Raw genomic sequence first — 13,881 nt, forward strand, 5'->3', positions numbered from 1 at the left:
TTGCTAGGTAACTTAGTGACTAGATAGAGGACTACATATTCAGCTTGCTGAACCATATAATGTGGGCTAGTTGTTAGCTCTGTCTTCATGCTGATTTTCCTAAATGGTATTTAAAGAACACTTGAGATTTTTAAAATTCCTTCTCCTTGCTCTTGCTGTAGCTAGGTACATATTTGTTTTATATGTTTTCTTTTTAGGAGGAGGCTAATTTTTAAAAATACAGAAAACAATACAAATAACAAAAAAGCAATAATTCATAAAGCCACTACCCACTGGTATCTGTTTTAATGTCTATGGCTTTATATTTTATTTTGGTAAATGATAGCATCTGTCTTCTTTCTTTGTTGATCTTCACACAGTTGCCTTGGCTTTTTGGCACATTTAAGAATTTAATAATCAATTATGTTTTAAAAAAATCCCTTGATGATTTTGATTGATATAGCAGTTATACAGTAATTTGAGAAGAAATTGAGTCTTGCCATCCATGAATGTGGTATAGCTCTTCACTATTCAAGTCATCTCTCATTTCATATTTAATTAAAACTTTCTCTATAAAGGTCTTGAAGATTTTTCTTAGATTTATTCCTATTTTGAATTTTTTGCAATTGCAAACTAGATCTTATTTTTACATTTTAAAACTTTTGTTATTTCCAATTTTTAAATTAAAAAAGTTTCTACTTGTTTGGATATATTTTAATTCTGCTTTTCTCTATTTTTTTTTTTTTTGAGACGGAGTCTTGCTCTGTCACCCAGGCTGCAGTGCAATGGTGCAATCTTGGCTCACTGCAAGCTCCACCTCCGGGGTTCATGCCATTCTCCTGCCTCAGCCTCCCAAGTAGCTGGGACTACAGACTCCCACCACCACGCCCGGCTTATTTATTTATTTATTTATTTATTTATTTATTTATTTAGTAGAGACAGGGTTTCGCCGTGCTAGCCAGGATGGTCTCGATCTCCTGACCTCGTGATCCACTCCCCTCAGCCTCCCAAAATGCTGAGATTACAGGTGTGAGCCACCGTGCCCAGCCTGCTTTTCTCTATTTTTAAATTTAGTGATTGATTTATGTATTAATCTCTCTTGTTTTGTAATAATTGCATATAAAGTGTATAATATTTTATAACCTGGGCTAGTTTTGAAGTTTTATATTTAATAGCAAAACAAGAGATTCCATTTTAAATAGTAAATTTACTTTAATAACATGATTAAAAGTTTTGCCATAATTGTATTTAAAGGTTTTGAAAACCAAGATAAAGTTTGTGCATGCAAGTATCTGTAGCTGAAAAAAAATTAAGGTAGTGGTTTTACAAACCAGGGTGGTATGTATCACTTGTGCAATGACATCAGTACATGAGAATCTTTTTTGTTTCTATGAAAGTACTGATGTTGCATCATCTACTTATTAAGTAATTGTTCTTTTTTTTTAAAATCTATTTTTGGGTTAAAACAAGATTGCCATCTTTCCTTGGATGGTTTTTCACATTGAATTACTGTTTCATCATCCGTTAGCCTATTGTGGATTTGATTTGGAATAAGCAACTGATCAATAGAAGAAGACAAATGCTTATATTTCACTGCAATTTTAAGAAATATTGCCCACGTTGTTATCATTTTGCTATAATAGAACATTAAAATGTTAAAAATTTTAAATGTAAAAAACTCTTCTCATCAATCTTAATTGTACTTATTTTTGTTATAAATGGTTACTTAATGAATAGATACTAAAAATTTTAAGTCAATTTAAATTGATTTTATTACTTTTTCATCCACTGCATACAAAATTTGTTACAATACTTTGAAAACAGTTTTTGAAGTAATTGAAATTTATTCCTGTCTTACACATGTCAATGGAGTAGATTTTTAGGTTCAAATAAAAATTCTGAAGACTTAGACTCAATATTTGTAGAGGGAAGAATCTTTGGAATTCCATGAATTTAAAAAATCTTCAAAATATATTTAAACATATTCAATATATAACAGAAAAATTCCATGAACAAAATCTCAAACCATTTTTTATTTATAAAAGTTATACTTTTGTTCAATGTAGACAATTTGAAAACACAAAAAAAGAAAAAAAGCAAACTTTTGGGTAATTAATGAGAATTTTGAAAAGATTTTGAGAATAACTTCTCTGTTTGTGGGTATAAACTTTAAAATTTATGATTCCACCCTTGGCCTAGAGTGTGAGGTCCAGCATGGGCCAGATTCCTCTTAGGCTGATCCTAGCATGCTCCTTCCTCTGGTCTTTTTTCCATCCATGTTTGACCCTAATGTGCCTTTCCTGGCCTTCATGAGTTTTCGCCTGGTCCCTGTCGAGCTGTCCTGCATAAGAGCTTGCATTCTGGGGCCGGTCTACTTGGGGTTAAGTGTCAGTTTCTCCACTTAACCTTAGTGGGACATTGGGCAAGTCTTCTAACCTCTGCTGGTACCCTCATCTGTAAGATGATTGTAAGAATAGCAGTGTGTATTTAACTGCTATTTAACTAAATAATGGCTGTATTTAACTCGCCATTTGACAAGTCTGGGCGATACGATGTTTGTGCACACGAGGCAAGCAAAGACCTGACACATCCTTGTGAGGCTAGGTTTGCCCTCTTGCATTTCAGTTGTCATTAGAAACACATGCCCTGAGTATCCATCCTGCTGGTCCTAGAAGAATAACAGACACTAGAGAATGCCTGAACTTAACCTGTGTTGGGCACCCAAGCCCACCGGGTCCAGCGGAATGCTAGACAACCTGGAGATGCCTGAATAAGATGCAAATGCTTGTTTTCATGAGCTACTGTGTTTTGAGATGGTTTATTCTGTGTCATTTTTGTGACACTAGCCAATTAAAACAGTACCTGCTGCATAGAGGTATTATAAAGGTAATTAGGCACTGTGTCTAAAGTACTTCAGAGCTTATCACAAAGTCACAGCTTAGTGAGTGTTGGGTTTTTGAGCTCAGTTTCCAAACCGCTGTGTCATGTCCTGCCTCCCTAACTGTTTCCTCCCAGTGGGCTGATTTTTCCACCTTGGGACTCTTTTGTGAAAGGCACACAACGCAGCTATGGTGGCAATGCACCTGGCCTGATTCCTGGGACCAGCCTCTCCTCACATGCAGCCCCAGAGTCAGAGGGCAGATGCCTGTGGATGAGATTCTTTATGGATACAATCATTTCATAGTTTCAGATAGTTAAAGTGAGAACACTACTCATATCAGAAACACTTAGAAAGATTCTAGAAATAATTTTCTTTCTACCATTTTTTTCCCTTGCCAGTATTCACCTGAGCAGTGAAGATAATCTCTGGTTCTAGAGAACCCAGAAATAAAGCCACATGTTTACAACTAAGTTATCTTCAACAAAACTGACAAGAACTTTCATTGGGGAAAGGACACCCTTTTCAATAAATGGTGCTGGGAGAATTGGATATCCACATGCCGAAGAATGAAACTGGACCTGTATCTCTCACCATATAAAAAAAATCAACTCAAAATGGATTAAAACCAACCGAAGACCCCAAACTGTAAAAATACTAGAAGAAAACTTAGGGAAAACTCTCCTGGAGATTGGTCTAGGAGAATAATTTATGACTAAGACCTCAAAAGCACAGGCAACAAAAACAAAAATAGACAAATGGGACTTAACTAAACTAAAAAGCTTCTACACAGCAAAAGAAATAATCAACAGAGTAAAGAGACAATCAGTTGAATGAGAAAAAAATATTTGCAAACTATTCTTCTGACAGGGGACTAATATCCAGAATATACAAGGAATTCAAACAACTCGACAGGAAGAATCAAATAATCCCATTAAAAAGGGGGCAAAGGACATGTATAGATATTTCTCACAAGAAGGTATACAAATGGCCAAAGATATATGAAAAAAATGCTCAACATTGCTAATCATCAGAGAAATGCAAATCAAAACAATGAGATATCATTTTACCCCAGTTAGAATGGCTGTTATTAAAAAGAAAAAATAAGAGATGTTGGCAAGGATGTGAAGAAAAGGAAACTCTTATACACTGTTGGTGGGAATGTAAACTAGTACAGCCATTATGGAAAACAGTATGGACATCTCTCAAAAAACTGAAAATAGAATTACTATTCTATCCAGCAATTCCACAACTGGGTTTTTAGCCAAAGGAAAAGAAATCAATATATAAAGGGATCCTTGCACTCCTATGTCTATTACAGCACTATTTACAAGACAATGATATGGAATCAACTAAGTGCCCATCAACAGAAGAATGGATAAAGAAAATGTGGTATATATACACAGTGGAACCCTATTCAGCCAGAAAGAAGAATGAAATCAAGTCATTTGCAGCAATGTACCTGGAACTGGAGGTCATTATTGTAAGTGAAATAAGCCAAGCATAAAAAGACAAATATCTCATGTTCTCCCACTTAGATGTGAGAGCTGAAATATCTGATCACATGGTGGTAGAAAGTGGAAAGAGAGAACAGAGATGGGAAGGGTGATTGGGGTAAAGGGGTGAGGATGAAGAGAACTGGGTTAAAGAACACACATACAATTAGATAGAAATAAATTCAATTTGTAAAAAATAATTTAAAAAATTAGAGATGGGATCTCGCTGAGTTGTCTAGGCTGGCCTTAAACTCCTGGGCACAAGCAATCCTCCCACCCTGGCCTCCCAAAGTGTTGGGATTATAGGCTTGAGCCACCGTACTGGGCCTAAATTCATTGTTTGGTAGCAGAGCAGGATGAGTATGGTTAAACAAAAATGTATTGTACGTGGGTGATGGATATCCTAAATACCCTGACTTGATCAGTATACATTATATACATGTAACAAAATTTCACATGTACCCCATACATTTGTACAAATAAGAAAAAAATATTTTAAATGTAATCTACTGTTCCTGTGGATGGAGGTGACTTTTTCCATGAAGCCAACAATCTCAAGAAAAAAATTGTTAAATAATATGTAAAATGAAAGTTAACATCAGCTTTCTACTTCCTTAAGATGTCAAAAATAAGCCAGAATTTTTTAAACAAAGTTTAATAATTCATCTAAGTAAGTTGTCACTTGACAAATGGCAACATACCGTGAGGGAGTATTATAACTCTGGGACTTGGGCAGGCATGCAAGGTGCGATGAAGAAGAGATACCAACTTCACAGAGCTGCTGTTGGCTACTAAATACATCAAGACGTATGAAGCGATAAACCTGGTGCCTGGGCCATAGGAATGATCGACCTTGGTATTAAAATTTGGCATAGGCTAAGTGGAGATGGGTGGTAATGAGGTCATCCTTCATAAGTGTCCAGCGGGGAAGACAAGATTCAGGACAGCCATGGACATTTGGATGTTTATGACACCAGGGAACAAGCCATGATGAGAGCTTTTATACATTTTATCACATGTAAAACGTTTCGTGAATAATTAGGAATAAATATGAATCTTGTTATGTCTGTTTCTATTTTATCAACTTGGATCATTATTAAAGATGTTCTTTTTGCCTGTTTGCCAAATTATTTTGTTTTGAAAACAATTTTATAGCATTGCAATTGTGACAATTTTTTTCAAAATAAGTAACTCATAAAATGAATTTGTTTATTTATTTATTTTTGAGACAAAATATTGCTCTGTTGTCCTGGCTGGAGTGCAGTGGCATGATCTCAGCTCACTGCAACCTCCGCCTCCCGGGTTCAATCCTCAGCCTCCTAAATAGCTGGGATTACAGGCGTGCGCCACCATGCCTGGCTAATTTTCATATTTTTTAGTAGAGATGGGGTTTCACCATGTTGGCCAGGCTGGTCTCGAACTCCTGACCTCAAGTGATCTGCCCGCCTTGGCCTCCCAAAGTGCTGGGATTGCAGGTGTGAGCCACCACACTCAGCTCCATAAAATGAACTTAGATGTACTCAAACTTTCACATCATCTGTAATTACATTAAATAGTGATTGAGAAGAGTTAAAATTTAGTGAATGAATTGAGCTTATGTTTTTTAAAATCTTACTTTAATTTGATATTTTATGTTATACTTACACTAATATTAGCTAATAGTTTACTTAGCTCTGTAATAGCTTTTAGTAGGAAAAGTATTTTGAATGCAAAGGTATGCTGATGTATGTCCCACAGTAAGACACAATTAGACACTGATCGCTCATTATCACCAGTGACCTCTATGATGCCTGATCCAATCCCCAAATCTCAGTGCTCACATTACTTGACTTGGGTATGGGATGTCCATAAGATTCTTTGTCAAATCTGCCTCCTTTTGAGAGCAAAAGGGAGCCTGATAAGTAATAACACCAGGACGAAAGCAGATGTGAGCTGGGACCTTCCTGGGCAAGCCAGTATAAACGACTAACCCTATCCCACAGCAGCATTTGCTGAAGTTGCTCACTCTCTCCTCCTTGATGCACTTTCTTTACTTGGTTCCAAAATGCCACAGTCTCATGATTGTCCTCCCACTCGCAAGCCTCTCATTCTTGGCCTCCTTTGATGATTTCTCCTCTTCTCCCCAACCTTTTAATGTTGAAGTATCCAAGATATGGTCCTTGGTCCCCTTTTCATTTCTCATTACACTCAGGGCTTTAAATATAATCTGTATGTCAATGAGATGGTTTTAAAAAATATGTCCACCAACCCTTGTTGACTGGTTCTAGTGAGTAGATGATGGCAGAAATGATGGGATGTCATTTCCAAGATGAGGTTATAAAACTACTGTGGTTTTTATGTTGGGTACTCTCTCATTCTCTTTCGGCTCACTCATTCTGGGGTAAGCCAGGGGCCATGTGAGGTTCACAGGATGAGGATCTGAGGTTTATTAACAGCCACACAAGTGGGCGTGGAAGTGGATCTTCCAAGACCTGCACCACCTGTGTGAGTGAACTTGGAAGCTGATCCTTCCTCAAACTCGCCTTCAAATGAGGTAATGAGGTCATCCTCATTACCTACTAGACTACCTGTTAGACAGGACTGCAGCCCTGTCTAACACCTTGACTGCAGTTCTAAACCAGAACCACTCAGCTACATGGCTCTCAGAAACCCAACCCACAGAAACTGTGGGTTAATAAATGATCCTTGTTGTAAGCTGCCAAATCTTGGAGCAAACTTGTCCAGCAATAGAAAACTAATATGGGCGACTCCAATATCCAACTGCCTCCCACCATTTTCCTTCAGACGTCTAACAGCATCTCGAGCCCACACGTCCAACACTGAACTGCTGATCTCACAGGTCCAGAACCTGCTTCACTCCACCCTTTCTCATCTCAGTGGACGGCAACTTCATCCTTTATTATATTATAACTCTGTGACTTGGGCAAGCATGCAAGGTGCGATGAAGAAGTGATACCAACTTCACAGAGCTGCTGTTGGCTACTAAATACATCAAGATGTGAATTCCAGGCCAGGGAATTTCAGTCCTCTTTGATTTTTCCCAAAAGGGGAGAAAGCCCCACCTCCAATTTGGCAGGTTGGTCTCACCTTCAAAATGAACTAAGAATCCAGTCCCGTCTTACCGCCTCAGCTGCAGTTTCTCCAGTCTGAGCCACCATCATCCCATGCCTGGATTTTCTGCAGTCATCTTCTAACACTTCCCCTTCTTCCTACCCCTGGCATCTCCCTGAGCCCTACACTATTTTCAGCAAAGCAGCCAGACCGAATCTTTTAACACAGAAGTGAGATCATATTATTACTCTGCTGTCATTTTTTTCAATGGCTTTCCATCTCACTCAGCAAGGAAAACAAGCCAAAGCCCTGCCAAGGCCCATGAAACTCTGTTTGATCTGCCGCCCGCCACCTGCTGACCTCCTCCTCTGTCCTCCTGCTCTTGCTCCCTCCCCTCCATCCCTGCAGGCCCGCCTGCAATTCCCCGATGTGCTTGGCACGCTCCACTCTCTGGCCTTCTGCTCTTGCTGTTTCCTCTGCCATGAATGCTCTTCCTCTGGATATCTGCTTGGCCAACTCCATATTTTTGCTCAAAACTCCCTTTTGCAATGAGGCCCACATAGGCCACTCCAATATTGCAACTAACCACTCTCTTGCTGTGAATTGCCAATTCCCCTTGCCCAACTCTCCTTTCCCCCCATGGCACGTACCACCTTCTAACAGACTAGATCATTTACTATGTTTCTCATCTATTTTCTACCTCCCCTGGCTGGCACATAAGTTCCACAAGAGCAGGACTCCTTTTCTATTTTATCCCAAGTACCTAGAGTAGTGCCTGACAGTATACCACAACCTATGGAATACAGCAAAAGCAGTACTAACAGGGAAGATTATAGCTACTAAGTGCCTACATCAAAAAGGAGGAAAAACCTCAGATAAGTAATATAACGATACATCTTAAAGAACTAGAAAAGCAAGAGCAAATGAACCCAAAATTAGTAGAAGAAGAGAAATAATAAAGCTGACAGCAGAAATAAATGAAATTGAAATGAAAAAAATACAAAAGATCAATGAAGTCAAAAGATGGTTTTTTTGAAAAGTTAAACAAAACTGACAAACTTTAGCCAGACTAAGAAAAAAAGAGAAGATCCAAATAAATAAAATCAGAAATGAAAAAGGAGACTTTACAACTGATACTGCAGAAATTGAAAGGATCATTAGTGGCCACTATGAGCAACTATACGTTGATAAATTGGAAAATCTAGAAGAAATGGACAAATTCCTAGATACACACAACCTACCAAGATTGAACCAGGAAGAAATCCAAAACCTGAATAGACCAATAACAAGTAATGAGATGGAGGCCATAATCAAAAGTCGGCCAGTAAAGAAAAGGCCAGGACCTGATGGCTTCACTGCTGAATTCTATCAAACATTTAAAGAAGAACTAATACCATTCCCACTCAAACTATTCTGAAAAACAGAGGAGGAGGGACTACTTCCAGACTTATTCTGTGAGGCCAGTGTTACCCTAAATTCTTCAAAAATCAGGTTGTTGGATAGTTCAGCCTTTGTGAAATGAGAAAGGCAGGTTATGTCCACAAGTGAATGAGAGCATGGCATGAAATTCACACTGAATTTACACTTTCAGCCTAAAACAAATAAAGCGATTTATTTAAATTCACAGAAGATGTGGGAGATGTACTTTTGCAACTTTTATTTTAAAAAATAATGTTGAAGTTGTGTCTATTTTATTCCAAAACATGATTTTTGGCAAAGAAATAAGATCTTTTGTGGAGCAAAGTGAATGTTATTAAATATAGGTAAATGCTGGTAAATATATCCAGTAAAGGTCTTAAGCTTGGATGTTCCTTAAATATGTCTGATGATTTAAAATATATTAAATCCATCACAGGGGGCAGCCAGGGCCAGCTCCATGAACAGGTGACCTGTGCAGCCCCTGGGTCCCCAGGCTTGGAGACCCCTGTGGTTGGTTTATCGTTCTGCTCCTGCTGTCTTAAAATTCCTATTACTCTTTGAAAAAAGGGCACTGTCTTACAGATTGTGTAGCCGGTCCTGGGGGTGGTTATTATCAATTGTGAATGGCTATTGCCTCAATGGAAAAGAATATTTCAAAACCACTTGGGCAAGTTATGAAATATGCCTTTGTATGTCATACTGTTTATAGTAAAACACAACTGAAAACACTTCCCTTCGCCTGTGGAGTCACTGGCTGTGCTGTTCTTGTCAATGGATTGCCAAGGCTCTCCTGGACGTTTATTCGCTGAACCTAATTGCACAGATCTGAAAACAACCATGTGGTCATAATTCACAAGGCTTTAAAAATCAGGTATCTAGTCCTATAAAAAACAGTAAAACTTCTTTAAGATAGTTCCTCATTACACATATTGGAATATGGTACCAAGTATATCTTGAAAACTTACAGCTGAAGATTATACTAAAAATAGAAAAATTAAATAAATTTCCCAAACACATGAGTCTCACTCTTTGAATTCAACAAAACCAAAACACCACACAAAGTAAAGAGTCAATCATGATTCCTTCCCTTTGTCCATGAAGGCTGGCAGATTTTTTAAAAATTAATTAATTAATTAATTTTTTTTTTGAGACGGAGTCTCGCTCTGTCACCCAGGTTGGAGTGCTATGGCTGGATCTCAGCTCGCTGAACCTCCACCTCCTGGGTTCAAGCCATTCTCCGGCCTCAGCCTCCCGAGTAGCTGGGATTACAGGCGCCCGCCACACACGCCTGGCTAATTTTTGTATTTTTAGTAGAGATGGGGTTTCACCATGTTGGCCAGGTTGGTCTTGAACTCCTGACCTCAGGTGATCTGCCCGCCTCTACCTCCCAAAGTGCTGGGATTACAGGCGTGAGCCACCGCGCCCAGTCGAGGCTGGTGGATTTTAAACCTTTCTGCTACATTATAAACTCTCTGAGAGCTTGGACTCTGACTCCAGAGTATGGCAAAACGGCTTGAGTGGAGCAGACCCTCTGTGTGCCGGGAGCCATTAGCTAATAAGTGATTGAGATTCATTTCAGGCTGGTGGAGGAGACTGAGATCTCTTCTCTGGTCTTCTCTTTTTGTGAGTGGGTGGGGCCTCAACCCTTCTTGGAAAGCACATCAGAAAGCGACTCTACTTCATAGGAAACACTGCACACACGTGCCAGCCGGTTCTAAACTCTGATCTTGTAGTTATTCTTTCAATCCCCACCCCAATCCATCCTGTGAGGAAGATGCTATTTTTATCTCTACAGACGAGAAGACAGAGACACATAGAGCTTAGTCACAGTTGGTAAATGGCGGAGAGGAGATTCAACCCCCGCCTGGGTTCCAGAGTCTGCGCTTTGATCCAGTTTCCCGGGGCCATGTCCCCCAGCATGGAGAAGAGCTGGCTCAGGAGGAGGGGGCACAGCCTCCCAGGTGGTCGGAGCAGCGCGGGCGGAGGCGCAGAGGCAAGAAGGAGCTGGTCTCTTTGAGGGCGAAGGCGGTTCATAGGGTGTGTGCACATCTAATCCCTCTCCTTCGAGAGTGCCGCCACCCTCATTCTTAGGGAAGGGGCGGGGAAGGGTTCCTGGGATCGTCATCCTACCTAAGCACCCCAGTGAGTGTTCAGTTCCCTGCCGCAGCTAGTGCCCTGTGCCCAGTGGGAAGCCACGTGGCCAGGCCTAGCGAGATCTCCGGGCGCGGTGGCCCGTGTGTGCCTCTAGCCAGGCCGCCGTGGCCAGGGCTTGGTGGTGTGTTTGACGCTAACCTTCCATGTCAACTCTGTGCGTTTCCCCAACACCCCGCACTGACCCTGTCCTCCTGGCTGCTGGTGACCCCTGACTCCCTGCCTCCTGACTGCTGGTGAGCATGCTGAGTCTGTTTAGAGGGGCGACTCGGGGAGTTCCTGAATGCAAAGTGAGGGGTGGTTCAGGCCACACACCTGTGAGTGCCCTGGGTACCAGCCCGCGGCCCAGAGCCTGGCTCAGGAGCTCAGCTGGGGCGCTCGCGGAGACTGTGACAAGTGTGCGTTCTGAGCCGTGGCAGGATTTCCCCAGCTGCTGTTTGTGCCTCCCCGGGGCTTTCTCAGGTCTCTGAAAACAACATATCCCGGGCTGGGATACGGGGGGAGGATGCCAGATGGGTTTTGAATTCTTTGAAATCTCCAAGCACCTAAAAAAATAATCACGGTGGGTAGGTGTGGGAAGCTCTTTAAAATGTGGCACATTTCCCCCAAAGCTTAAAATAGAGCTTTTCAAGGGAAATTAAATGGAAGTATAAAAATATGTAAATGCTCTTCCTTCCTACAAAACAGAAATAATGTTACAGGCATCACCCCGGGGCCCCAGGCCCCTCCGTAGTCAGCACCAGCAGTGCCAAATATGGCCCATGGCTCTGGGTTTCCTCCCTATATTGACTCTGACCAGGGACATCAACACTTCCCCCAGGGGACCCCACTATTTCTCTGATATGTTCTATTTGCCTAATGTCTGTGTTTATCCCTCGTTTTTTTGTTTTTGTTTTTAAACTAGTGTGGGATTTTTAGAAGGTTGTCACATGTTCCTTGGGCCTGTAGGTTTCTTTGTGAAAAATATACCACGTCCTGGGAGTTGTGGCTCCAGTCCAGAGGCTGCTCTAATGCACACATTGAGGAGGTGTTCATTGCAGAGCTTCCCAAAGAGAAAAATGGTGCAGGTCATGTTAACTCAGTTATCGACTTTCTCAATTTCTGATTTCAACTTTATTGCTATAAACACATTATTCACTTTTAGTCAAACCAAAAAGTCAAGTTTGCATAGGGCTTTTTTTTTTTAAATGATGGATTTTCTTTACTTTTCTTGTCCTAGTTTTCTACCCACTACCTGTGTGATGTTGTCCCAGGGATTCAGCCTCTGGGTGCTTTGCTTGTCAAAGAACAGGGAAGAAGGACGGAGCCACCTAAGCCTGTGCAGGCTGGAAGCGCTGGTAACGTGGGCCAGGCTGGGTCCCAAGCTCTGGGGCCCCTTGCAGTGCCCTTGGGTGTTGCTAGGGTCTTGGAAAGAGATTGAGTTTTAGGAGAGAGCAAAGCGATGACTGCCACCAACTCACCTCTGCTTGGCAATGACCAGCCAGTCCCTGAAGAGGAAGAGGTGCCTCCTGGTGGTCTCAGGGCCCTGGGTCAGCACCATGGGGCTGTGAAGGACAGGCTCAGCGTGCTTGAGGGGCAGGCCCAGCTGCAGGGACAGCTGCTCGAGGGTCACTGCGGATGCCAGGCTCTTCCTGAGGGCGGGGGAGAGTGGGATCAGTCCTGAGGGAAGAGGGTTCCCCAGGGAGCTGGCGTGCAATGCCTGTGATGTCTCCAAACACCAAGTCACCACTAGTGTGGCTTAGTCAGAGTGGAAATCAGCAGGAAAAAAGTGCAGACTTTTTTTCTTAAAATTTGAACTTAAACAAAATGAATTTACAATAAAGCACAGCAAATTGAGTCAAATTGTTGGACCTGATTCAGGTTATAGCTAATCACTGCTAGTAATGTCAATGCTAAGGATTTCTGTGAGAATTTTAACCGAAGGCAATACTTTCCAAATATTTTCATGCCATAGCACACACAGCAAAGATAGCATTTATATCACACTCTGAGGGAAACTGAGGCAGCCAAAGGCCTACCGGCCCACCCAGGCTGGCCCACACACAGAACGGAGAGGGTCAATGCCGCGGCTTTGGTGTAACTCATTTGTGGCACATGGCTTAGGAAGCTCTGACGTATTCCTTTGATTAGCAGAAGTTTTCCCTAAAGGTTAAAAAGGTCAGGGTTTCCCTGCTGCTAAGTCTAAACAAATGTCTCTCAATTCATGGTTTTCTTCCATAGAGTAAGTTAGCCGCAGAGCAGATTAAACATCACCTGTGAGACTCAAGCGGTCATCATTCATTCATCTGGACTCCAGCATCTTTTCCCTGTGCTTCCTACAATTCTAGAGTCACCTAGCTCCTGTTGCCCTTGAAACATGTTCTCCTCCTGGTCCTCTACCCTGTGTCTGGGGCCGATGGTGAATTTAGGCCATGAGGGGTCTGTCCCTTGGCCTGCTTTTCCAGTTGCTTTACCGCCACTCCTTTCCATTCTAAACACAGCAGTACTAGCTCTCGCAGGCACATCTCCATTACCCAGGGAATCAAATGTGATATTTGAATAAAGATGAGTTGGGATACGTTTCTGTTATTTAAAAGGCAAACATTAAAACATTTTGATACTCGGCTGCGTGCAGTGGCTCACGCCTGTAATCCCAGCACTTTGGGAGGCCGAGGCAGGTGGATCACTTGAGGCCAGGAGTTTGAGACCAGCATGGGCAACATGGGGAGATCCCCATGTTCAAATATTTCGCCCACATCGCCAGAGGCTCTGTAAAGGCCGCATGTTTTCATGTGCTCTAAATCTGCAGATGGTTGGGATGGCTGGGGCGAGAGGTCAGAGCTTTGACCCACATTGTGTTTAAAGAAATATTTGTGTATTTGTCTCTACAAAAAAATACACAGATTAGCTGGGTGGCATGTGCCTGTA

The 13,881-nt window shown here is 41.6% G+C and overlaps 1 protein-coding gene across 1 annotated transcript in view, besides 1 other annotated feature; it reads right to left on the reverse strand.

Moving 5' to 3' along the window:
• Nucleotides 1-13,881, reverse strand: part of LOC112267968 (uncharacterized) — a 59,629-nt gene that overhangs the window by 21,417 nt on the left and 24,331 nt on the right. Inside the window, exon 3 of the mRNA XM_047419645.1 lies at nt 12,435-12,605. Coding sequence (XP_047275601.1) covers nt 12,435-12,605 — 171 coding nt within the window. The remainder of the gene's footprint in view (nt 1-12,434; nt 12,606-13,881) is intronic.
• Nucleotides 11,409-11,538: an enhancer, noted in NCBI's record as "active region_25385". NCBI's record gives its function as "activates an Ori minimal core promoter by ATAC-STARR-seq in GM12878 lymphoblastoid cells {active_cell/tissue: GM12878}" and the evidence as "EXISTENCE:reporter gene assay evidence [ECO:0000049][PMID:35858748]".

Source organism: Homo sapiens, chromosome 6 (genome assembly GCF_000001405.40).
Source record: "Homo sapiens chromosome 6, GRCh38.p14 Primary Assembly".
NCBI lineage: Eukaryota > Metazoa > Chordata > Mammalia > Primates > Hominidae > Homo > Homo sapiens.